General features: G+C 52.8%; 1 protein-coding gene and 1 pseudogene across 23 annotated transcripts in view, besides 5 other annotated features; one reads left to right on the top strand and one right to left on the bottom strand.

The window, feature by feature from the left end:
- ACOX3 (acyl-CoA oxidase 3, pristanoyl) overlaps positions 1-24,727 on the bottom strand; it is an 85,419-nt gene that overhangs the window by 33,858 nt on the left and 26,834 nt on the right. For all 23 annotated transcript variants that reach the window (XR_007057969.1, XR_007057970.1, XR_007057968.1 and 20 more), the window contains 8 exons: positions 21,050-21,193; positions 16,793-16,881; positions 10,394-10,490; positions 7,775-7,957; positions 5,458-5,580; positions 3,171-3,291; positions 450-572; positions 11-124 (listed from right to left, as the gene is read on the bottom strand). Coding sequence is in view for 18 of the 23 variants with exons in the window: in NM_001375784.1 (NP_001362713.1) it covers positions 11-124; positions 450-572; positions 3,171-3,291; positions 5,458-5,580; positions 7,775-7,957; positions 10,394-10,490; positions 16,793-16,881; positions 21,050-21,193 (994 nt within the window). In the remaining 5 variants the exon portion in view is untranslated. The remainder of the gene's footprint in view (positions 1-10; positions 125-449; positions 573-3,170; positions 3,292-5,457; positions 5,581-7,774; positions 7,958-10,393; positions 10,491-16,792; positions 16,882-21,049; positions 21,194-24,727) is intronic.
- Positions 3,468-4,273: an enhancer, noted in NCBI's record as "H3K4me1 hESC enhancer chr4:8394357-8395162 (GRCh37/hg19 assembly coordinates)". NCBI's record gives its function as "activates a minimal SCP1, AML or CMV promoter by ChIP-STARR-seq in naive H9 embryonic stem cells {active_cell/tissue: H9 hESC(naive)}" and the evidence as "EXISTENCE:reporter gene assay evidence [ECO:0000049][PMID:30033119]".
- RNA5SP152 (RNA, 5S ribosomal pseudogene 152) lies at positions 3,853-3,962 on the top strand (annotated as a pseudogene).
- Positions 5,004-5,971: an enhancer, noted in NCBI's record as "H3K4me1 hESC enhancer chr4:8395893-8396860 (GRCh37/hg19 assembly coordinates)". NCBI's record gives its function as "activates a minimal SCP1, AML or CMV promoter by ChIP-STARR-seq in naive H9 embryonic stem cells {active_cell/tissue: H9 hESC(naive)}" and the evidence as "EXISTENCE:reporter gene assay evidence [ECO:0000049][PMID:30033119]".
- Positions 5,972-6,937: an enhancer, noted in NCBI's record as "H3K4me1 hESC enhancer chr4:8396861-8397826 (GRCh37/hg19 assembly coordinates)". NCBI's record gives its function as "activates a minimal SCP1, AML or CMV promoter by ChIP-STARR-seq in primed H9 embryonic stem cells {active_cell/tissue: H9 hESC(primed)}" and the evidence as "EXISTENCE:reporter gene assay evidence [ECO:0000049][PMID:30033119]".
- Positions 6,938-7,905: an enhancer, noted in NCBI's record as "NANOG-H3K27ac-H3K4me1 hESC enhancer chr4:8397827-8398794 (GRCh37/hg19 assembly coordinates)". NCBI's record gives its function as "activates a minimal SCP1, AML or CMV promoter by ChIP-STARR-seq in primed H9 embryonic stem cells {active_cell/tissue: H9 hESC(primed)}" and the evidence as "EXISTENCE:reporter gene assay evidence [ECO:0000049][PMID:30033119]".
- Positions 14,262-14,459: a silencer, noted in NCBI's record as "fragment chr4:8405151-8405348 (GRCh37/hg19 assembly coordinates)". NCBI's record gives its function as "represses an EF-1alpha promoter that drives an FKBP-Casp9 reporter gene in an ReSE screen in K562 erythroleukemia cells {active_cell/tissue: K562}" and the evidence as "EXISTENCE:reporter gene assay evidence [ECO:0000049][PMID:32094911]".

Here is a 24,727-nt window from a genome sequence, read left to right on the forward strand (position 1 = left end):
GTGTGTTTACCTGCAGAGTCCAAGCAGTCGGCAACACTGGAGACCTCAAACTTCTGGTCAAGGATGCCGGGATAGGCGTCCAGAAAGTCCACTGACTTCAGCGGACTGCGGAAGCAAGCTCCATCTAGGACACACATTCCAGTGACTTTGGTGGAAGACAGGAACCCAAACCATTGGGAACCCCAAGCTGGGGGCACCCCAAAGCACAGAGAGTGTCCAGAGGACCCGACGGCCACAGACCCACAGGCGAGGGTCTGGGTCTCAAGGACCCTCCCCACCCCAGCCTTTGCCCATGCCTTGGGGAGTTGGTCGGCACTATCTAATAACATTTCTTTCCTTCTGCAAACCTAGGATGCATTCACAGAACAGCTGAATCAGTGAGGCCAGGAGAACCCACCCCTGCCCCAGTTGGGTTCCAGCGCCCCCACCAGTGTGCAGCAGAGCCTCACCGTGGACCTGGTGTGCCAGGAGACCCAGCAAATAGTTGCTTGTCTGCTGCAGCAGGATGTTGTTGTCACCTTCGTATGTGCAGTTGGGATCGTTGTCATCTCTAAGGACACCCAACCGGTTCACTGCAACAAAGCCACAATAGTACCATCATTTAAGACGCATATTTGAGAAGCAGCCTGTCACTATGTGAGAATTTAAAAAGCCTTAAGAGGCTGGGTGCGGTGGCTCACACCTGTAATGGCAGCACTTTGGGGGGCCGAGGCGGGTGGATCACTTGAAGCCAGGTGTTCAAGACCAGCCTGACCAACATGGTGAAACCCACCTCTACTAAAAATACAAAAATAGCCAGGTGTGGTGGTGTGTGCCTGTAATCTCAGCTACTCGGGAGGCTGAGGCAGGAGAATCGCTTGAGCCTGGGAGGCGGAGGTTGCAGTGAGCCGAGATTGCGCAACTGCACTCCAGCCCGGGTGACAGAGCAAGACCCTGTCTCAACAACAACAACAACAAAAAAAGCCATGAGTTTGAGACCAGCCTGGGCAACATAGTGAGACCCTATCTCTATAAAAAATGAAAAAAAAAATTAGCTGGGCATAGTGGCACGCACCTTTAGTCCCAGCTACCCAGGAGGCTGAGGTGGGAGGATTGCTTAAGAGCCCAGGCATTTGAGGCAAAAGTAAGCCATGGTCATGCCACTGTACTCCAGCCTCCGGGACAGGGCAAGACTCTGACCAAAAAAAAAAAAGCCCTGAACTCAGCTTGACCAGACACAAAGAACTGCCACCTGTGCTTCATATCCCACCTCCAGCTCCTCACTGCTGTCAGCAAGCCCTGCAGAGCCTCCCCTGGCATGGGGTTGCTGATAGGAGGGAGCCATCTCAGCGAGCTGATGCCCCCAGGGCTACCCTTCTTCCGTCCATAACTGAATGAACTCTTCTTTTAACACAGGAAATTTCAAGATAACTGTTTTTTGTCTTTCCTATCAGTTAGCTGGATGCCTTCACATATGTTGTCAGGCTTGCTTTCCAGACCCTCACACACTTGAGCCTGCCTACTGTGATGGAAAGTGTTCTCTGAATGTGAGGCTGGGATGGGCCTAGCAGGAAGGGAGTGGAGCTGACTTCTCACACTCACGTACTGTGACTGATGGATCCTGAGAGCATGAAAGGAGTCCTATTGCAGCCATACTGCCAACACGCTTGTGATTAGCCTTGTGATCACCTAGAACACCTGATTTTCTCCTGACTTACTGTCAAATCATGCCACGAGCTTCCTGCCACGTAACAGGTTGGCCACTGAACAAGAGCTGGGAGAGGCCTCAGCAGAAACATTTGCAATTGATTTTCTAAACCTAGATGGAGCCTCGGTCATATTGGTCTCAATCCCAGCATATGTATATGTATGTGTATATGTATATGTATGTGTATATGTATATGTATATGTATATGTATATGTATATGTATATGATTAATCTTGATTCCATCATCTTTGTTGTCTGCAGTACTGCAAGATTCAATTTCCTTATTCAACTATTTATAGAATCCCGATGAGTTACAAAGACAAAAACTACTAAGGGCATTGCGCAGAGGACAAAGCATGCAAATGAGTAACTTGTGTACAGCCATGGCTACCCGCATGTCAGTAAGTGACAAAGACAGATTGTGGTGGGAGTGAGGGGCCACGTTGCTAACAGCCCATGCTGGAACAGGTGCGAGTTAGAACTGCAGTGGTGGGCGGATGATCGCTGAAAGTGTGTGTGTAGTTCTAGATAGAGCATCACAAAAACTCTCACAAACTTGGCAAGGACCAAGTGCTCCTGGAGGGCAAGAGAGTTTTGCTGATGCTGTGGCTGTTTTGAGTGTGTACATGGCCTTCTTTGAGCAACCAGTTTTTGCCAGTTAATTATTTAAGATTAGCACACGGGAAGTTTTGCAGGTAAGCTGTAAATAATGCTGATGATAATTCTAATAATAACAGCATTAGCAAATAAAAAAGTCATTGGGCACGCACTACATGCCAGATACCATGCTTACACTTCATACGTGGTAATTCACTTAATTCTGGCAAGAACCTATGTTGTGGGTACACTATTATCACCCCCACTTTAAAAATAAGAAAACTGAGCACAGTGAGGTTAAGCAACCTGCCCACAGTTACCAGGCTGTTAGATGGAGCCAGGACTCAATCCCAGGCAAGCTGGTGGCCTCCGCTCTTAACCATATAACAGCTGCCTCAGTCATCATCAATGCCGATATAACTAACTCTTTATCTAAGTGTAAGAATTTTCTATTCAAACAAAACATGGTGCTAGTTTACTACCAAGCTGTTAACCAAATAGTTAAAATTCAAATGAGCAGATCAGCTGCTCTCTGCCTATATTTTGGCCAAGAAGCATCAGGCATCTGAAAGCAGTGGGATCTATCTAGGGCAGGGGTTGGCAAACTTGTTCTGCAATGGACCAGAGAGTAAATATTTTCAGCTCTGTAAGCCACATGGTCTCTGTCACAGCTGCGATTACTCATCTCTGCCCTTGCAGTGCGAAAACAGCTGCAGGAAATGTGCAAATGAACGGGGGTGGCTGGCTGTGTTCCAATAAAACTTTATTTGCAAAAACAGGTGGCAGGCTGGATTTGGTCCTCAGGCCGCAGTCTGCCGACCCCTGGTCTAGAGTCAAACAGCAGGGCTAAGGACAGGAAACCACCATGCGCTTCTCCAAAACCTACTGGCCAGATAGCCGTGTCCTCCACACGCCTCCCGGCATTCCTGAATTCCTTGCTGGGTGGTCCACGAGGCCAGGGGCTTGCTGGCCGATGCCAGGGCGTGGATCTCACGTCCAAGCTCTGCCTTTGGGTGAGGGAATCCAACAAGAACAGGTGAAAAGAGACTTTAGACACCAAAAAGTCATAAGTCAGCAATAGCATCAAACCACCATATCACCTCTAGTCTAATACAAGACATCCCGAAAATGACAGAAGAGGAAACCTAATTGTAATTAGAAATAAAAAAGGGTCTTTATCCAAGTATGGATACACTGTGGTACGCTCATACCATTTCACAACAATGAAAACACAGCTCTACACAGCAAATAGCTCTCAGGGCCCTAACACGGGTCCCAGAAGCAAACTGCAGAAGAATGTGCGTCATGGCCCACTTTATATAAAGTTCACAAACGTCAAAGTGAATGACACACCATGGAAGGTTGCAATTGTTTGCAGCGAAACCATGAAGAAAGGCCAGGGAACCAGACTCAGCACCGCAGACAGTGCTCGCTCCCAGGACAGGGAAGGGCCGGGACCAGTCCATTCCCAGAAGGCTGCAAGCGCCTCGGTAACTGATGGTCTGCTCTGTGTGGGGGCTCACCGTGCCTCCCTCAGGCCTAACATGTTTTATTGAGACTCCTTTGCTGTCCATGGCCAAACTACCCTGAATGAGCCTGATCTCGTGAAGCTAAGCAGGGTCGGGCGTGGTTAGTATTTGGATGGGAGACCGCCTGGGAATAGCAGGTGCTGCAGGCTTTTTTTTAAGGGGAAAAAAAAAAGAAAGAAGACTCCTTTGCTTCTGCTTGATATCTAATGATGAAAACTTAAGAGGCTGGGCCAGGCACAGTGGCTCACGCCTATAATGCCAGCACTTTGAGAGGCCGAGGCGGGCAGATCAGTTGAGCTCAGGAGTCTGAGAACAGCCTGGGCAACATGGTGACACCCTGTCTCTACTGAAAAATAAAAAAAATTAGCCAGGTGTGGTGGCGGGCACCTGTAGTCCCAGCTAGTCTGGGAGGCTGAGGCAAGAGAATTGCTTGAACCCAGGAGGCAGAAATTGCAGTGAGCCAAGATCGCACCACTGCACTCCAGCCTGGGCAACAGAGCGAGACTCCGTCTCAAAAACAAACAAACAAACAAACAAACAAAAACTTAAGAGACTGATTCAGAGTAAAAGAAGAATTTTTAATTTTAAAAAAGAAAGACAATTAAAAAGGAAAAACAATTAAGAGGAAGACACACACACGCACACACACACACACACACACGCACACACACACACACACACACACGCATGCTAAGTCCAGTGACCCATTTTATGAGTGTTTTCAACTTCACATAAGGGGCTGAGCTGAGGCCCTCCTCTGCCTGGGTTAAACCACTGAGTTTCAGAAAGAATCAGCCTGGTCACCCTTTACAACATTATTCACAGGAGAACAATGCAAGTGTCAGCTGGCAAAAGCTCCACTGACTCACGCTCCAGGGAAAACACAGGCTTAACCCCTTTAGTGGTCAGAAGCGCTCCCTCCTCAGGCCTCCAGGCCTGGGGTTTGCTCTGCCATCAATCCTGCAGGTCATCCCTTCGCCATCATCTGCCGTGAATGTGGACACCGATAATATTTCAAGATATGCTAATTAGATACAGGCTTTTTCTGATGTTGTACATAACAGCAATCTGTGGCGTTTCTCCTCTGCTTTCAAACACGGTTATTTCTTTTGATTCACATTTCACTCTTGCTCAGGAGGCAGCAGGAGGGACAATGGAAAATCAGTTCATAATCATCTACAAAGAAATCCGTTCCCGATGTCTCTTTATGCCGAGGCTGATCTCGGGATTTGCACGCTCGTTTCTGGCACAAATCCTCTGACTGTCAACTCAAATCCAGTCAGTGGGATTCAGACCTTTGTGCAGCTGTTTACAAAAGGCTCAGAACCATGAAATCCACTGAGGGGCGGGTAACGTGGATTTTGCAAAACCGTCATGTTCTCAAAAGGAGACCAACAGCTGAACTCACAGACTGGAACCGGGAGTCGTGTCAGCACATCCTTGAGAGGCAGGGGTGTGGACGCGTGCCCAGCCCGTTCAATCGCGGCAGAGGCCAAGAGCTCCGAGTGGGTGGGAACAACTGGAGGAATGCTCTGTCCTCGCAAATCAAAGGACTGATTTTGCTTTGAAATGAAGGTTGAATCTATGCTGCTCCAACCGTGTGAGATTTAAACGATGCTGCTGAGGAAGCAGACACCACCTCACCTGTCTGGCGCTGCGGTCTCCCGATGCAAGTCCTCGCTGGAGCTCCACCAGGTCCAGGAAGAGCGACTTGGAGAAATGGTCTAAGGCGTAGACAGCTGCCAGATATGGAAGCAAGCGCCATTGCTAGAACAGACAAGACACCTGCGTGAACACATCGTGGTTCCCATGAAGGGCAGCCCATCCCAGGGACCATGAAAGCCAGTGCAGGGAGAGGCCGTCAGGGCCACACACCCACTAGCGCTGAAGGTCTTCACATGTCTTCCCGGCACATCAGAAAGCCTTCACCCTGACACGCTCTCAACTCAGCCAGTTCGGCTTTCACCCATAGCCCTTGACAGACAAGCTCAAACGCAATTCGCTAAATGGCCGCTATTCACAGCTGTCCCATCAAAGTCACTACAGAACAAAGTGCCAGTCTATCTGTGAATTAAGAAGGCAGCACTGCTAGGGGCCAACTCCCCGGCACACGGACTGACTGGCTGACAGCATGAGCCTGTGAGGATGAGGCCGTCACCCTGGGACAGATGGGAAAGCTGAGGCCCACACAGAGCTGGCAGCCCCTCGAAAGGCTGAGTGCATGTCTTTTTCACTTTGTCTGAAACAGGATAGGGTCCACCTATTGTTGGATGGGGGGGTGGGTGGGTGGGTGGATGGATGCATGGATGGTGGGTGGTGGGTAGGTGGATGTGTGGGTGGGTGGATGGATGAATCCGTAGATGGGTAGATGGATGGGTGGGTGGATGCGTGGACAGGTGGGGGGATGCGTGGACAGGTGGGGGGATGCATGGATGGGTGGGTGGGTGGCTGGGTACATGGCAGGACAAGCCTGAGAGGATCCTGAGGAAACCGCCATCACCACCATGGTCTAACGTGTCAAGAGTGCTGAGCAGACATGGCGCCAGCTGCCTCCATGCCCTAACTTTGTTAATCCTCACACTGATCCTAGGAAGAAGTTTTATCATCAGTTCTAACTTACAAATGATAAAGCAAGAGCACAGAAAGGCTAAGGACCTTGCCTGGGGGCACACAGCCAGCTGGGGGTGGACCTTGGTGGTAAGGCCAGGCATGGTGGCCCCAGTGCGCTCTCTTGACCGCCGAGCTGCCCTTGGCACCCAGAGTGCTGTGACCACACACGGGAGGGGATGGGTGCCACACAGGCATGAATGGCAACACTTACTAAACAGGCTCATAGCCCTGGTCAAAGGATGTGGACAGAAACAACTGCAATTCTGTTACAATTTCCTGGAAGTTTCACCCAAATCTACCTTTATTCATGCACAGCTTGGCCTGGGACCTGGGCCTGAGTTAGCCTGTGCACTTTAACTGGATTTCTTATTTGATCCTCAGTTCTCTCACCTGTAAAGTGGGACTAAGCCCAACCCTCTTAGCTGTGAAGACCAAACCCAGAGCACAGGGCACGTTCGCTGTGACAGTTCATCCCCCTTCCATGTAACAATGTCTGTGCTTTTCCACGCTGCTGCCTGGGCTGCATCTGTGCATGTCAACAGCTGCCCCATCTCTGGGGACGTGTAGGGCCAACGCTCTGTGCCCACGCCACTGTTCTAAATGCCATCACAGTGAACAGGGCTGCACGCTCAGCTGCTGCTTCTTCCAGATCACCTGCCAGGAATCATTTCTTAGGGATGGGATGAAAGTGTCAAAGAGTGTGCACAGGGCGTGCAAGGCCACTACCCGCCAAGCTGTGGCGGCCTCACCTGAACGTGCGGCCGTGCACACACCCACCTCCCAGAGCCGCCCCATCCTTGCTTCTTTCTGGCCGGGCACAGTGACTCATGCCCATAATCCCAGCACTTTGGGAGGCTGAGGCAGGTGGATCACTGGAGGTCAGGAGTTCGAGACCGGCCTGGCCAAAACAGCAGAACCCTGTCTCTACTAACAATACAAAAATTAGCCGGGCATGGTGGTGCATGCCCATAATCCCAGCTACTCGGGAGGCTGAGACACGAGAATCACTTGAACCTGGGAGGCGGAGGTTGCAGTGAGCCAAGATCATGCCCACTGCACTCCAGCCTTGGTGACAGAGCAAGGCTCCGTCTGGGAAAAAAAAAAAAAAAAAAAAAAGACTTGCTTCTTTCCATCTTCCTTTTTTGGCTACTTCGTATCTACTCTTTTTAAATTAAAAACCATTTGCTGGAAGCCTTGCGGCCTGAGATGCCGCACTCCCGCTAACTAATCATCCTGTTAATTGCCTTAAGAGCTTTGATCAACTCCCAGTAACCAAACGGCAACTATGTAAAAGAAGTGAATTTGCATATAAAATAGAGAGACAGTGAAAGGATGCTTGAAAACCTCATACCTGCATTGGATACTCAAGCACTGGTATTTCCTCCTCCTCTGTGGGTCCAAACTGACGCCGAGTGGCTGAGAAGCGAAGAGCGATGGCCACGGCCAGCTTTAGGTTAAGGATGGCCAGGCTCACGATGGAGACCCGGCCCGAGGACAGGCTCCCCAGGGACGCTCCAAAGCGCTGCCTGACGTCCTACGGGAGGGACACAGATGATAAGCTCAAGCCCGGCTGCGCGGCCACCTTGGGCAGAGTGGCTCAGAGGCGAAGGTGCCCTCGTTTGTTCATCCAAAGTAGACCTGTGCCCACCTGCCCAGGCCCCATCCCCAGGGCGCCCAAGACACAGGACGGTGCGGCAGGCGGGTAGAGATGTCACTGATGAACCGTGGATGGAATGGGGGTGCCAGGGAGGGGACACCCAGCTGCCTGGAGAAGGTACAGTCCTAGCAGAGGGAATGGTATGACAGCGCTGGGTGAGGGTGCTCCCACTGTGGGGACTTGCAAACCATCTGCCTGGAGATTCCAAGGCCCACCTTTAACCTTGGCAAGAATCAGATGTGGCCTGTACTGCCAGAGGGCAGGGGCGGAGTCCATTACAGGCAGCCTTTCCAGGGGGTTTCACGGACACCTCTTGATCCTTGTGTGCCTGTGAACAGGCAGTTCCTTTACGTGCGTCTAGCTGGAATCTTCCGTCCACTATCTCCTCGCACGCATCAGCGGCGTCAGCAGAGGCTGTTGCTAAGGCCTGTCCAGGCTGCGGTGGGCACATCTAATCTACAGCCCTTGCCACGTGATCTGACCGTCCTTCCTGCCCTGCCCCGTGCTGCCCCATCGGGCCACTCCTCTGACCATCTAGGTCCTTCTTCCAAGGCAGCATGGTAATTGTGTGTCTGAGCGTATTAATCACACTCTCACATAGGAATCACAGTCTCGTTGTGTTTAAAAATGTATTTAAGCCGGGTGCGGCGGCTCACGCCTGTAATCCCAATGCTTTGGGAGGCTGAGGTGGGCAGATCACCTGAGGTCAGGAGTTCAAGACCAGCCTGGCCAACATGGTGAAACACCGTCTCTACTAAAAGTACGCAAATTAGCCAGGCCTGGCGGCGGGTGCCTGTAGTCCCAGCTACTCAGGAGGCTGATGCAGGAGAATCACTTGAACCCGGGAGGCAGAGGAGAGGTTGCAGTGAGCTGAGATCGTGCTGTTGCACTGCAGCCTGGGTGACAGAGCAACACTCCACCTCAAAAAATATATATAAATATATATTTAAAGTGATTTTCCTTTAAGGGTATAAAATATGATTCCACTGTCTTCATGCATTCACTGTCATGTTTGAGAAATCTGAAGTTCAAGTGTTTTTTATTCCACTGGAGTCAGATCTGGAAGATTCTAGAATTTTCTCTTAGAAATTCCTCAATTTCTCTACCGTGTGTCTGGGTACGTGCATAGGTGCTTCCTTACTTTTCCTCTTTGGTCCTCCAAGAGTCCCTTCAACCAAAAGCCTTCTTCCCCTCTCATTTAGAGACATTTCTCTCCTTTATTTCTCTAAACTTCATTTCTTTCTTTCCTTCTCTTTTGAGACAGGGTCTCGCTCTGTTGCCCACGCTGGAGTGCAGTGATGCAATCATAGCTCACTGCAGCCTGACTTCCTGGGCTCTAGTGATCCTCCCACCTCCCACCAAGTAACGGACCACAGGCACACGCTACCATGCCCGGCTAATTTTTGCATTTTTAGTAGAGACGGGGTTTTGCCATATTGCCCAGGCTGGTCTGGAACTCCTGGGCTCAAGCGATCTGCCCACTTTGGCCTCCCACAGTGCTAGGGTTACGGGCGTGAGCCACTGCACCCAGCCTTCATTTTCTTTAATCCTCTCCTTCTGCCTTCTAGAGGACAAGCTTCCAATCCCTAATTCATCCTCCTGAGATAGTTATCCCAAATGCTGTGCCTGTTCTTCCAATCATTTATTTTTAATTGATGTTGGATTAACATCTCCGTTTGTGAGCAGCTCCTGGTCTCGTGTTGCTGTTCCCACTCTGCGCACCCTGTGTGTCTCTGGGCATCCCCATCATGCTCCTTTTCCATCCGTGCTTCCTGATGTCAGATGCTGCATGCTGCTGGGGACTGTTATTCCAAGGGTGCATGCTCGGGGTGGCCCACCTGCTGTGAGCTCATGATTCCTGAGGGTCATCAGCTATGACCTGGGCCATCGCTCCCCAGGACCACGGTCTCTCTTCTGCTCTCCGTGAACTTAAGCCAGGCGTGAGTTCTGGACACCGGGGAACTCTGTTTGTCGTCCCCCTTTGTGGACAGTTCGCCAGGAGACCCGTCTCCTTCAAATCCTCAGGGAAGCATCACTGGAAGCGAGCAGTCCTCTAATCGCAGCCCCCGATGGGGAGTGGGCATTGTAAGGCCCGGACTCACCCCCTGGACACCAGCACCTGGTGCTGTGGCTGCCCCAAGAGTCCCCTTCTAGCGGGAGCACCAGAACCCGAGCCAGGAGAAGTATGCCCCAGCGACACCTGGCCTACGTGGAGGGGTCTCCTTTCCAGGTGCAGGGAGGAGCACAGAGCCAGGCCCTGCAGAGGAAGGCACCTGGGAAGCACGGCACACGAACGGCCCCCCATGCCTGTACCTTAAAGGGGCTGACATAGGTGCCCTCGGGGGTGACGTCTCCCATCCGGTTCAGAAGGCTCTGGCGAGGAACTCTGACCTTGTGGAACATGGCGAAACTGTGGGGAAGCAGCAGGGCTTCTGTTAAACAGGGGTCCTGCCCTGAGGCTCTTCTCTTCTCCAAGGGCAGCCTAAAAGCTGATGCAATCCCCGAGGACAAAGAAAATGGCAGAGGGCAAGTAGACAGGAACATTCAACCAACTTTCTATTCAAAAAAGTAGTCTAGTCAGGAACAGTGGCTCACGCCCAGAATCCCAACTCTTTGGAAGACTGAGGCAGGAGGATTGCTTGAGCCCAGGAGTTTGAGACCAGCCTGGGCAACACAGTGAGACCCTGTTTCTAAAAAAGAAAAAAATGTAGGTTAAAAAATAGGCTGGGTGTGGTGGCTTACGCCTGTAATCCCAGCACTTTGGGAGGCCGAGGTGGGTGGATCACCTCAGGTCAGGAGTTCGAAACCAGCCTGACCAATATGGTGAAACCCCGTCTCTACTAAAAATACAAAAAAAAATTAGCCAGGAGTGGTGGCATGTGCCTGTAGTCCCAGCTACTCAGGAGGCTGAGACAGGAGAATTGTTTGAACCCGGGCGGCGGAAGTTGCAGTGAGCCAAGATCACGCCACTGCACTCCAGCCTTGGTGACAGAGCAAGACTCCACCTCAATAATAATAATAATAATAATAATAATAATAATAAAAGCATTGTGTATATGGTAAGTTGTACTCCAAGTACAGAACTCCAGATATTCAACAGAAAAGACGGGAACTGTGTTTCCAAAGATTGGAATCTCTGATTCTCATATTTCAATCTTAAACCAGAACCCACAGTGTAATAATATTGGCAAAATGAGGTTTAAAACTCTTCAGTCAAACAAAATAACTGGTGTGATGGCATTGGTGCTCCCTCGGCAAGGAAATTCACTTCTTTTGAACAGCTGAGCATAGGATTACACACACATTGTTATGGATCATGATGTATTAATAACCAAAGATACCTGTTATGGTTGTCTGGTCAGGAAAACCTATTACACAACAGTCTAGGGAATAAGGCTATGCTAGGTTAAGAATATTACATAAACTGTGCAAAAACCCCCCAAAACAAACTTCAAAATATCAATAGTTCCTATAGCAACTTGTCTGATTCCTAAGTTCACTTGCAATGCCTTAGGGCAGCAGTCCGCAACCTTTTTGGCACCAGGGACCGGTTTTATGGAAGACAATTTTTCCACGAATGAGGGGGAGGTGGGAGTGGTTTCGGGATGATTCAAGCACATTATATTTATTGTGCACTTTATTTCTATTATTATTACATGGTAACACATAATGAAATGATTATACAATTAGCCATAATGCAAAATTGCAAAATCAGTGGGAGCCTGAGCTTGTTTTCCTGCAACTAGATGGTCCCATCTGGGGGTGATGGGAGGCAGTGACAGATCATCAGGTATTAGATTCTCATAAGGAGCGCTCGCCTTAGATCCCTCACATGCGCAGTTCACAGTAGGATTCACGCTCCTATAAGAATCTAATGCCGCCACCGATCTGACAGGAGGCGGAGCTCAGGCAGTCATGTGAGCAATGGGGAGTGGCTATAAACACAGAGGAAGCTTTGCTGGCTCACCCGATGCTCACCTCCTGCTGGGTGGCCTAGTTCCTAACAGGCCACAGACTAGTACCACGGGGTTGGGGACCCCTGCCTACAGAATAGTCTTTTACTAAACCACAGAAGACTCATCTATAAAGAATAATCTCACATGCTGGAAGGGAACCAGAGGCACCCGTTTCCTGCGTGGGCTCTTCCTTGAGTCCTGCTCAGGATGCCCCCACACCCCCATTGTCACCCGGTCCTGGGCTGCCAGCTCTGCTGTGCTGGCCCGATTCACTTTCTCCCCTCCATCCCCACCTAGGACCCAGCACCTCCATCCCTACTCAGCTCTCCTGGGCTGATTTCCTGCAGCAACCATATTGGCTCTTTCCTAACTCTGCCTCTTCAGCCCATCCTCCCTGTGGGAGCTGGGCCGTTTCCCAAAGGCCTTCGGAATGGCGGAGGCCAATGTGGAGGATCCCCCCAAGCTGACCTCCATCTGCCCCTCTAATTGCATCGCCACCTTGCCATGAGGTGGTCCCACCTGCCTGTGGTGCCCCATCTGCCCCTCTAACAGCATCACCGCCTTGCCATGAGGTGGTCCTGCCTGCCTGTGGTGCCCCGTCCACCAGGTTCTCTCCTGGCCTCATGCCCTCCATGCAGTCACTGTTGACACCAGGCAGCCCTCGGCCCACCTGGGAATTCTATGCCCCACCCTGGGAAGGGTATGAGGCGGACCCCAGGGTGGGATCCCTCAACCATCAACGTTCCTGGTTCCTGGGTGAGCTAGCTGCCTCTCAGCAGTCTCCCGGGGCTCACCCCCCTCCATGAGGGGGCCACCGTGCATGGGGCCTGCCAGACTTAAGGGACGGGCACGTAAGTGGCATGGTATGAACAAGTCAGGTGGGGCAGACGACATCCTCTGAGGCACAAGGGCCAGGCCATGATCCTGACTCCCAGGACAGCCTGAGGGAAAGACACAGCGACAGTTTCCACACTACCAGGAGGAGCAAGGCCCTGGGGCCGGGTGGGGACGGGGCTGGAGCTCCTTAGGGAAACCTGGGTGACCTGGTGAGGGAAGAGCTCTCGGCTGCTTTGCCAGGCCCCTGCCCACCTGCAGGAAGTGAAGGGCAGCGGGGGGGCCAGCTCCTCCAAAGCCCTAGGCCCAGCTGCCCAGTTTGGTAGCAGCTTCCCCCATGCCACAGCCGCACACTCAGAACACCCCACCTCGTGAGAAAAACCTTGCCTCGGTGCCAATGGCCCCAGCGTGCTCCAGCCTGTTACTTGAAAGCCAAGGAATGCCTTTTCCAGTATGATCCGGTCACAGTCAGCGCCCTTTTTAAGGAGTGGAAATTATTCCCCCATTCTCACCACACAGAATATATTTATACTTGCAAAAACATTCCCGTGAGTTTCAAAGGAAAGCAAACTTCCACGAATTCTCAGGGGATCCCTTCTGTTCCACAAAAGCTATTACAGTGGTGGTCACATGTGGCCAACTCAAATACAAGCCAGATCCAGTGTCTCCAGCGGGAGACGTGTGCGTGTGTCACAGGTGTGTGTGTGCACAGCACAGGAGTTGTGTGTGTGTGTCACTGGACATGCACGTGGCACGGGAGGCCTGAGTGTGGCACAGAAACCCTCACTCCAATCCCAGAAGCGCCCAGACCTCAGCACACACCCCGCGCCCTGGACATCCTGCTTCTTATTGCAGCAGCTTCCTTCCTCCTTTGGGGCCTGGAAGGGCCCCCCAAGCCCAGCCCAGCCAAGCCGCCAGAGCAGGCCGTTGAGTTCGGCAGCCATCCTCCCAGCCACCGCCTCAGCTCAGGGCAAACGCACGAAGAAAGACCCTTAAGGTGCAGCCCACCTTAAGAGTCTGGCTGAAACTATCACTTGAGAAGATCTTTATGATTTTGCTTTTAGAGCTATTTGGCTAAAATTAATCCACACAATTTACGTTTACCTTGGATTTGTAGGCAGTCATCCCACATACTCAGGAGTTCTTGTAAAGTGACAAAATCTAACCTACAAATTGTAACCACTTTTTTCAAGATAAATGATTTCAACATTGGTAACAAAAATCACTAAATTATAATGCTGATCTTGGAAAAGACAGACATCCAGGCAGAAACTGGCTGGGAAACCCGGAGGGAACACTGGTATCACTGCGCCCCCTGCTGGGTGCCCTGCCCAGACCCTCCAGCCCTGGATGGGAAATGTGCATTTCTGGAAAGGGGCGGAGAGCAGGCCGCCTGCATCACCCCGGCTGGCTCCCATCCCAGCCCAACCTAGGCCTTCAAAGGCTCAGGGATCAAAGATGGACGAATCCCACTGCATCCCTGTCACCCTGCAGAGAGACACGGTGGAAAGGCTCTGGGGGCTCAGTGACCTGGCTTGGTGGAGCAGCTCTGAACCAGCGTCAAAGGGCGGTCGTTATTGTGTTAGTGGCGATCCTATAGGAGACCGTATTTCTGAGTCTTACAAGAGGCTTTACCATATCAGTGTGATGTATTAATCATTAATGGTTTGATCTAATGCTCCTTTGAATATTATCCCAGTAAGAGGTGTGGATTCAATCTCTAGAAATACGTTTATTAGGGGGGAACCAAGTGCAGGGTTTCTCTGCAATGTCCCAAAATAATGTCAAAGCCTCTCATTCATGAAACTGAATGAGCAGTGAAGAAGAGCCTTGCTCACACCCGAGGCCACCCACTGGATGTGACAATTCACCACCGCCATATGCCCGGGTGGAGATGCCTGTCGGGCCTTACGTGCACACATAGGACACTTCAGTAGATGGGTAACAGTGCCTGTGGCTGCAGAGCCCTGAAAGGGATCAGCCGGGTCTAATAAAAGGATGCAGATTCTCCAGAACAACACAGTGCTTCCTACACCCCATTTCCTGCACAGCGCTTCAGAGCTTCTCACCCTGAGGCCAGAGCCATCCTTCTCAAACAGACCAAGCCGCATTACATCCTCCAGATGGCTGGGGCTTCCCGCTGCCCTGAGGGCGAAGGGCCTGAACAGCGACCCTCCATACCTGCTACACGGGCACCGTCCATGCCAAGCGCCTCCCAGGCACCCTGCGAAAGTAGTCATTCAAGAGAACTGACAGCCGCAGGTCGGGGTGGCGCTCTCCTCCCTGCCAGCTCCAACATTAACTAGCAGGTTCCTTGTATTATTTTAGTATAAGCCAGTGAGAACCCAGAACTCTGCAGGACAGGTGGAGTTAGGAGGGCTGTGCATATGTGTCTTGTTTTGCTTTTTTTTTTTTTTTTTGCCTGAAATCACAAGAATTTGCTTTTTAACAATGTCCTTTTACTTTCTTCTCAAGTTGACACTGTATAAAAATCAATCAAGATTTTCCTCTTTAGTACAGTCTGGGGCCCTGCCTGTTTTAAAGGGCCAAGCAGAGATTTAAGACACTCCCTGCCCATCACCCTGACTTCTCAGAAGAGACAGGCAGAAGGAGGTTTCTCCATCGCTGAGCGCTCAGATGCCCACTGGCCCATCTTCTCCCTCTGGAGACAACCTGGTCATGATAACCAGTTATTTCCAACTCCTGTAAGGCAGGCTCCTCTCCTCTCCACCAGCCTCGCTATGAAACACTATATGAAACACGCATATCTAGAAACACTCCTGAGACATCTTTCAGGCTATCAGGCTCAGGCATGGTCATACCTTGTCCCACTACCCCCAAGTTATAAATCATCTCGTGGGCACAGAGGGGTCTACACCCTGCTGGATCAGGCTCTCGGGGGAGACAGCGTGTGGAGTCCAGCATTCGCAGTGAGGGAGGCACCAAATGGGCCAGTGGCCAGGAAGTTCAAGCCCGGCCTGCTCAGGCAGGGCCTGGCAGGGCCCTGGCACAGGGACCTCTCTTGTCACCTACTTTACAGATGAGGAAATGCCAAGAAAGCTGGTCAAGGTGACACAAAGGGCCGGCTGCACATCTGTCTCATTCCAAAAGTCATGCTGCTAATGACCTGGAGCTCCAAAATCCAATCCCTCAAAGACCCTCAAGGCCCTTGCGGCCTGGCCTCCCTACCCCGCCTGCATCCCAGCACAGGCCTGGGCCTGACACTTCCCACTGCTTCCTCCACCTGAAACGCTGCACATTCCAAAATCACTGGCCACTTCTCCCCGGCCACCCAGGCCTCCATGTGGCCATCAAGCATTCATTAGTCTTTCTAGGCCCCTCCCCTCTGCACGCCCCATCCAACCCTTCAGCCAGGCCTTGGCCACACCAACCCGGTGTCACATGTGTGCTGCTAAATAGATATATGTGGGCTGATTAAACAAATAAGCCAGCGGAATTCTCTTTCTAAGTGCTGTGACACTGGGATTACCCGGAAAGGAGCAAGCCTACTCTGGAGGCAGAAACTGCAGATATGGGTCCCTCGAGATCAGCATGGATGTGTGCAGAGGCCGAGCCGGGGGAGGCTCAGGATGCTGAGGAGGACCTCACACAGAGGAGGCAGCCCCCCAGGCAGGGGCCCCACCAGTTGTACACAGAGGTCTGGGTCTGATCTGAGAGTGTGGAGCCGCCTGCCAAGGTGAAGCTGGTTTGCTGAGGTCTCTGATCAAGTTGGCCTCCCAAAGTGGAGTTCAAGCAGGACGTGGCCAGTGCATGCACGGGGGCTAGGCGTAGGTCCCCACCGCATTTGAGTCTAAGAGGGCAGGGCATGGCATCCATGGGGCCAGTGAGATCTCAGACATGAGCGACAACGCAGCCTGGGCCTTGGCAGGAAGCTCAGGGCTCAGCAGCCTCTGTCACTCACCCATTATCCAGACCGTTCTGCCCGAGTTTTTTTCCTATGTCGCCAACCATCACTCCAGGCATGGGAAGAAGGGTCTTCGGGTCCCGGATCTATACAAAGCCACAGAAAGCAGCAAACAGCAACTGTTACAATCACACAAAAATCAAAACAAATGTGTTCAGAAACCCACAGGGTGGGCCATGGGCTCAACGCTGGGCGGCTGTGGGTTAAACCATCCTCCAGAAATGATACATCCAAGTCCTAACCCCAGGACCTGGGAATGGAAGCTTATTTGGAAATAGGGTCCTGCAGATATAATGAATTTAAGAGCATCAAGATAAGGTCATCCCAAATCACCCAGGTGGGCCCTAAATCCCACGGCAAGTGTCCTATGAGAATCAGAAGAGGAGTGGGTGTGGGGAAGAGGGGGCCATGTGGAGACGGAGGCACAGAGTACAGCGCTGGGGCTGTAGGGATCAGCCCCACAGGGTCAGTGGGTTTCTCCCCGTGTGTGGAGACAAGAGAGCATAGAGATAAAGACACAAGACAAAGAGATAAAAGAAAAGACGGCTGGGTCCGGGGGACCACTACCACCAAGACACGGAGACCGGTAGTGGCCCCGAAGGCCAGGCTGCACTGATACTTATTGGATACAAGACAAAGGCAGGATAAGGAGAGTGAGCCATCTCCAATGATAGGTAAGACCACATGGGTCACATGTCCACTGGACAGGGGGCCCTTCCCTGCCTGGCAGCTGAGGCAGAGAGAGAGAGAGGAGACAGAGAGAAAGACAGCTTACGCCATTATTTCTGCTTATTAGAGACTTTTAGTACTTTCACTAATTTGCTACTGCTATCTAGAAGGCAGAGCCAGGTGTACAGGATGGAACATGAAGGTGGACTAGGAGCGTGACCACTGAAGCACGGCATCACAGGGAGACGGTTAGTCCTCCGGATAACTGCGGGCAAGCCTGACAAATGTCAGGCCCTCTACAAGAGGTGGAGGAGTAGAGTCTTCTCTAAACTCCCCCAGGGAAAGGGAGACTCCCTTTCCCAGTCTGCTAAGTAGCAGGTGTTTTTCCTTGACACTTATGCTACCGCTAGACCACGGTCTGCTTGGCAACGGGCGTCTTCCCAGATGCTGGCATCACTGCTAGACCAAGGAGCCCTCTGGTGGCCCTGTCTGGGCATAACAGAAGGCTCGTACTCTTGTCTTCTGGTCACTCCTCACTATGTCCCCTCAGCTCCTATCTCTGTATGGCCTGGTTTTTCCTAGGTTATGATTATAGAGCGAGGATTATTATAATATTGGGATAAAGAGTAATTGCTACAAACTAATGATTATTGATATTCATATATAATCATATCTAAGATCTATATCTGGTATTCTTATTTTATATTTTATTACACTGGAACAGCTCGTGTCCTCAGTCTCTTGCCTCGGCACCTGGGTGGCTTGCCGCCCACATGGGGCCACAGGCCTGGGGCCACCAGGAGCTGAAAGAGATAGGAAGGATCCTCCCCTAGAGCCTTTAAAGGGAATGCCGCCCTAAAGATTCCTCAATTTCAGACCCCGGCCTCCAGAGTTGGGAGAATACGTTATGCTGTTTCGAGCGCCCTGCTTTGTGGTGCTTTGCTGTGGCAGCCATGAGAGACTAACACGGGGGCCGGTGCTGCCGGGAGGACGTCGGGAATTTCATATTCACGTTTTAGACACAGGACTCCCTGCTAGATTTTAGTAAAGTGACAAAATGGCTGTGCAAATAGGTGTAGTGGGAGAAACGGCTATGAATATTCTGGTCAATCACCGCTCCCCAAGATACAGGTCCAGCCAGCTAATGGCTGCGCACTGTGGGAACTCGACGGAAGGACGTGGAGCTTCATCCTTGGGCACTGTTACAGCAGGGATTCCCAACCATGAGACGTGCCACCTTCCCCTTCCCCACCAGGGGACACGGGTGGTGTCTGGAGAGATTCTGGTTGTGTTAACTGCAGGAAGCTATGGCACAGAATGGCCAGACGCCAGAAGTGCTCAGCCCAGCCCTGGGCATACAGGGCGCCCCAGTGAGTACTACCCAGCCCAAACTGTCAACAGTGCCAAAGTGGAAAAGCTGCTTTAGAGACACATGGAGGTGGTGCTACGGGGAATTTAGCTATGTGCATGACCTGCTAGCTGGCTTCTGTTTATGTCTGTCAATTCACCATCTAACTTCACTGAACTTTAAAATAAAGAAACACTCAAAAAGGGCTAAAACCCAAATGTAAACATCCTCTCCTTTTCTAAAATCTTTCAGCAAGGCCCAGTAAAGATTCAGACACTGTCTCACAAAAAAAAAAAAAAGAAAAAAAGAAAGAAACCTGCAAAAGATGCCTGCCCCTCCGCCCACCAGCTCAGGTCTGGGGCGCAGATCACAATCCTGTCCAAATAACCCCAAGACCACTGTTTCCATCCCTCCTTATCAGGCAGGAGGCCGTGGCTCTGGGAGGTGGACTCAGGTGCCCTGAGCACTTGGTGCAGTGGCGAGAGGGGCGACACAATCCTGCGGAGTGTTTTTAGCACAACATAAACAAGTCTAAAACACTGCGGCTCTATGTCCCCAAAATCAGACACGCCGAAAGCTGCTGAATTCTAGTCCAGGCAACTCCCGCAAGAAGTCCACTCCAGGTAGAAATCTATAATCACAGAAACAAGGCACACTGGCCTCAGGTAACTATGATGCTGTGATAAATACATATTTGGCCTTGTCCCTGCTTCCCAGCACACGACTCCTAAAACCCTGGACTCTCTGCAGTGGTGACAGTCTTTTGTGTGCTCATGAGATGGTTGCAGACCCCTAAATAGCTTCAGGATGAAGACCAAGGTACAATTAGGGGATTGATCAGAGGCACAGGCCACAACCTGGACTTGCCATTGGCATCCAAAGGGTTGGGGAGCTTCTTGTGGGACTGAGCCCTCACTGGGGGGGGGGGGTGGGGGGGGGGTGGGGGCGGTCTGAGGCTCACCCCAGGTGAACAGCATCAGTATGGAGTTAAATTAGAGGACGCCCAGCTGCTTTCTGCTGCAGAGCTGCCTGCTGGTGGGGAGAAACCCACACACATCTAATGTCAGAAGCGTTGTGATGGCTGCATGACAGTAGGAAAAACACTTTGGTTTTGTCCTGTAACCTTACAATGAAAAAAATCTCTCTGGTCTGCAACAGCTCAAACGTCAGGTCAACTGAAAAATAAGAACATGAGCAACAAAAGAAAAAAACGTAAAACTGGACTTCATCGAAATTGAAAAACTTTGTGCATCAAATCAACCAGATGGTCTCAGAGGCCTGCAGCTCCTGTGGCCAGGAGCCTTGGCCAGGCCCTCTCAGCTGTGTCACTGGGGGACATTGGGCTGGATGTTTCTTTCTAAGGCAAGGGTGGGGCTGTCTGTGCACTGTGGGCAGGGCTGTCTGCACCGTGGGAGGGGCTGCGGGATACACTGTGGGTGGGGCTGCCTATGCACCCTGGAAGGGGCTGTGGGATATACCATAGGCGGGGCTGTCTGCACTGTGGGCAGGACTGTCTGCACTGTGGGTGGAGCTGTCTGTGCACTGCGGGTGGGCCTGTAGGATACACTGTGGGGAGGGCTGTGGGATACACTTTGGGCGGGCCTGTCTGTGCACTGTGGGCAGGGCTATCTGTACTGTGGGTGGGGCTGTCTGTGCACTGTGGGCAGGGCTGTCTGTGCACTGTGGGCAGGACTGTCTGCACTGTGGGCAGAGCTGTCTGTGTGCTGCGGGTAGGGCTGTAGGATACACCGTGGGCGGGGCTGTGGGATACACTTTGGGCAGGCCTGTCTGTGCACCGTGGGCAGGGCTATCTGTACTGTGGGTGGAGCTGTCTGTGCACTGTGGGCAGGACTGTCTGCACTGTGGGCAGAGCTGTCTGTGCGCTGCTGGTGGGGCTGTAGGATACACTGTGGGCGGGGCTGTAGGAATACACTGTGGGCGGAGCTGTCTGTGCACTGTGGGCGCGGCTGTCTGTGCACTGTGGGCAGGGTTGTGGGATGCACTGTGGACGGGGCTATCTGCATTGTGGGCAGGGCTGTGGAATGCACTGTGGGCGGGGCTGTTTGCACTGTGGGCGGGGCTATGGGATGCACTGGGGTCCTGGGCAGTGTCCCTGGTCCACTCACCAGATGCCAGAAGCATGCCCCACCCTTGTTATGACAAAAATGACTCCAGACATTACCAGTGCTTCCTGGGGGTAAACACTGCCCCCACTGAGGGCCACCCCAGCGTCCTACCTGCACGATAAAGGGATGCAGCCCATGGCACTGGTCCCCTGGCACACACAGCTTAGCAAACACCACCGCGTGAGTGGCTGTCTTGCCCATGTTGCCAACCCAAAACTTGGCAGCTTCGAAATCAGGGGAATGTATGATGAATTCCTGCACAAGGGAAAATTTAGGTTAGTTATAATTAGCAACTAAAGCACATGCAGAATTGGTGTTTTCCTTTTAGACAGATTCCATTTTCTACGTTCAAAATCTCTGAGGCAAGAGTTGAAACTAATCGCACATTTTAGTTCTTGTATGGCACAGGCAGGCCTATTTTTTAAACACAGCCTATTCCTGGGCCTTATGACTTAAAGAACCTTCAGATGCAAAATACTCCGCAGGCTGGCAAACGCTTCCAGGGAGTTTTCATTATCATATAGTCTTCAGTCCCTAACCACGCCCCTTAGGTAGAAACACTGTGGATACACTGTGGGCGGAGCTGTCTGTGCACTGTGGGCGGGGCTGTCTGTGCCCTGTGGGCAGGGCTGTGGGAATGCCGTGCAGTCCACTCAGTTCTTTAGGACCTCTAATTCACAACACACTGCTGCCCCCTTGCTGTCTCTCCCATCCACAGCTCCGTGATTGACAGTTATATCCCAAATGCCCCGAGCACAAGGCAGCCGCTCAGAACATCAGAAGGAAGGAAGGAAGGAACGCATGCGTGAACTAGCAGATGGGCTGTGGCATCACAGCGTTCGGTGTTTGGCTAGAAGGGGTGTGGACAGATCCCCAAGGAACACTGAGGGTGCTGCATGGGTCAGAAGCGAAGAGCACGTGGGAACAGGCAGGAGCTGGGCCGCTGGGGCTGGGCCTGCCCCAGGGGCGTCTGCTGGGAGCCCTTCGAGTAAGGCTGGGAGGGAGGATGCGGACCAGCAGTGCTGCATAATGTGGCCGGGATCCGCAAGGGGACAAAGATGAGCGCCTTCAGGCAGACAGCCCGCAGGTGGCCCACAGAGCTGCCCTGGGCCGCCTCGGGAGACACTGATCCTCCACGCGGAGCTTGCCAGTCACTGCTAGGGGCTGTCGTGGCTAAGTTTTGGTTCTGGTTCCAGCCCCTGCAGGGTGGGAGGCTACAAAATAACGTGCCGGGGAGGGCTTCCTCCTGTCTAACCAGTGGGATTCTGTAAACAGAGTAGTGAACAATCATCCTATAGATCCTGAAGTTTCACTGAGGAGAAGTAGGAGGTGGGGTGGCTGCCAGCCATGCCTTCTGTTCTCTTCTCTCAGGGGACCACCAGCTCTTCGCCTGCGAGGGTAAGGAGGGCTCCCAGTCTCAGCCAGGCCCTCCCCATTCATTCTTCAGCACGCGGCAGTTCTGATACCTCCACCTGTCACTCATTCTCCGCAGTGCAGGTGTGCACTGCAACACCGGCCCAAGCCGGCTCCTCGGGGCCTGCACTGCTCCACACAGATCTTTCCCACTGTCTCGACTGTCTGGCTGCCTCCCTGCGCCCCGGCATACCAGCTTTGCTCTCTGGAGGGCCTCCATGGTGCCCAGCACATCTCACTTCTTTCTGTTGGTGTCTGTGTCTCCCCCCAGCCCACAACTTCAGGACAGCAGAGACCTGTCTGCTGTGCTCGCCACTTCCAGCCCAGTCTTGGAAAGCTGTGCCTCACACACAACAGGTACCCAGCAATGCCTGCTGTCCAAATAAATGCTCAGCCAGCAGCCCAGCCTGGATCCTGGGCACCCCAACTCTACGGATCTGATGCCACACTCTGACCTCCACTTAGGGATCAAATGCCAAAAAGAAGGAGGTGGAAATGGGAAGTGGTCCTCTGATGCCCCACCCCAAGGCTACCTGGGTGCTGTTGTCCATCTGCCTGTCAGAAAGGGCCCCACCTCCTGGCACTGCAGGCCACAGGCAAAGAGGACAGCAGGAGGAGAAGCAGCCATGGGGCCAGAAAGACCTGGGTTCAGATAAAGATATCTTATGGCTTAAAAGAAAATTCTGAAAAGAACCTCATGCCCTACTTTCTCCTAGCCCCACTCTGAGAAGGAGCCTTGGCCCCACTCCCAAGGCCCCACAGCAGGGGCACCCTGTGCGAGGACCACCTCTTATCCCTGCTGGGCTACGGGTCCGCTTGAGTTCATTCCTGGGCTCTTCCATGCAGTACCCCAGGCACAGTCCACACAGCCCAGGCTGTGGAATGAATGGATGGATGAAAGAATGAATGGATGGATGGAAGAATGAATGGATGGATGGAAGAATGAATGGATGGATGGAAGAATGAATGGATGGATGAGAGAATGAATGGATGGATGGAAGGATGAATGGATGGATGGAAGAATGAATGGACAGATGGAAGAATGAATGGATGGATGAAAGAATGATGGATGGATGACTGGTTGAGCACATCCGCAGGTGCAGAGCTTCACTTCCTGCCACACAACAGTCCTCCCTGACCACTGCCAATGGGGGAGGGTGGAAGGCGGGTGAGGAAAGACTGGCAGGGAGACCTAGGCCTCAGGGACAAGCGGAGGCCAAGGAGAGTCATGTGGTGGCAGGGAGGCAGGGCCAGGGAACAGAACAGGGTGGGTGAGGACCCTCCCCATCCTCCCTCGCTGCCCTGCGCCCCTCCACAGCACTGATAGCCCTAGGGCATCCATCTGTGGCCCATCTCCCTCCACCCCTGTGCCCCTCCACAGCACTGAGAGCCCCAGGGCATCCATCTGTGGCCCATCTCCCTCCAACCCGCACCCCTCCACAGCACTGACAGCCCCAGGGCATCCATCTGTGGCCTGTCTCACTGCACCCCTGCACCCCTCCACAGCACTGACAGCCCCAGGGCATCCATCTGTGGCCTATCTCCCTCCACCCCGCACCCCTCCTCAGCACTGACAGCCCCAGGGCATCCATCTGTGGCCCATCTCACTGCACCCCTGCGCCCCTCCACAGCACTGACAGCCCCACGGCATCCATCTGTGGCCCATCTCCCTCCACCCCTGCACCCCTCCATAGTACTGACAGCCCCAGGGCATCCATCTGTGGCCCATCTCCCTCCACCCCGCACCCCTCCACAGCACTGACAGCCCCAGGGCATCCGTGTCCCGTCTCACTGCACCCCTGCGCCCCTCCACAGCACCGACAGCCCCAGGGCATCCATCTGTGGCCCATCTCCCTCCACCCCTGTGCCCCTCCACAGCACTGACAGCCCCAGGGCATCCATCTGTGGCCCGTCTCACTGAACCCCTGCGCCCCTCCACAGCACTGACAGCCCCAGGGCATCCATCTGTGGCCCATCTCCCTCCACCCCGCAACCCTCCATGCACCCCTCCATGCACTGACAGCCCCAGGGCATCCATCTGTGTCCCGTCTCACTGCACCTCTGCGCCCCTCCACAGCACTGACAGCCCCAAGGCATCCATCTGTGGCCCATCTCCCTCCACCCCTCCACCCCTCCACAGCACTGACAGCCCCAGGGCATCCATCTGTGGCCCGTCTCACTGCACCCCGTGCCCCTCCACAGCACTGACAGCCCCAGGGCATCCATCTGTGGCCCGTCTCACTGCACCACACCAGAACTCCCAGGCAGCAGCCACAATGCAGGTACCAGAGAGGTCAAGAGGATGGCAAGGACCCGAGGAGTCAGACTGCGGTGGCGGAAATGGACAAGGCAGGCTCTTCGCAGAGGGACAGCCAC

The sequence above is a fragment of the Homo sapiens genome, chromosome 4 (assembly GCF_000001405.40).
Source record: "Homo sapiens chromosome 4, GRCh38.p14 Primary Assembly".
NCBI lineage: Eukaryota > Metazoa > Chordata > Mammalia > Primates > Hominidae > Homo > Homo sapiens.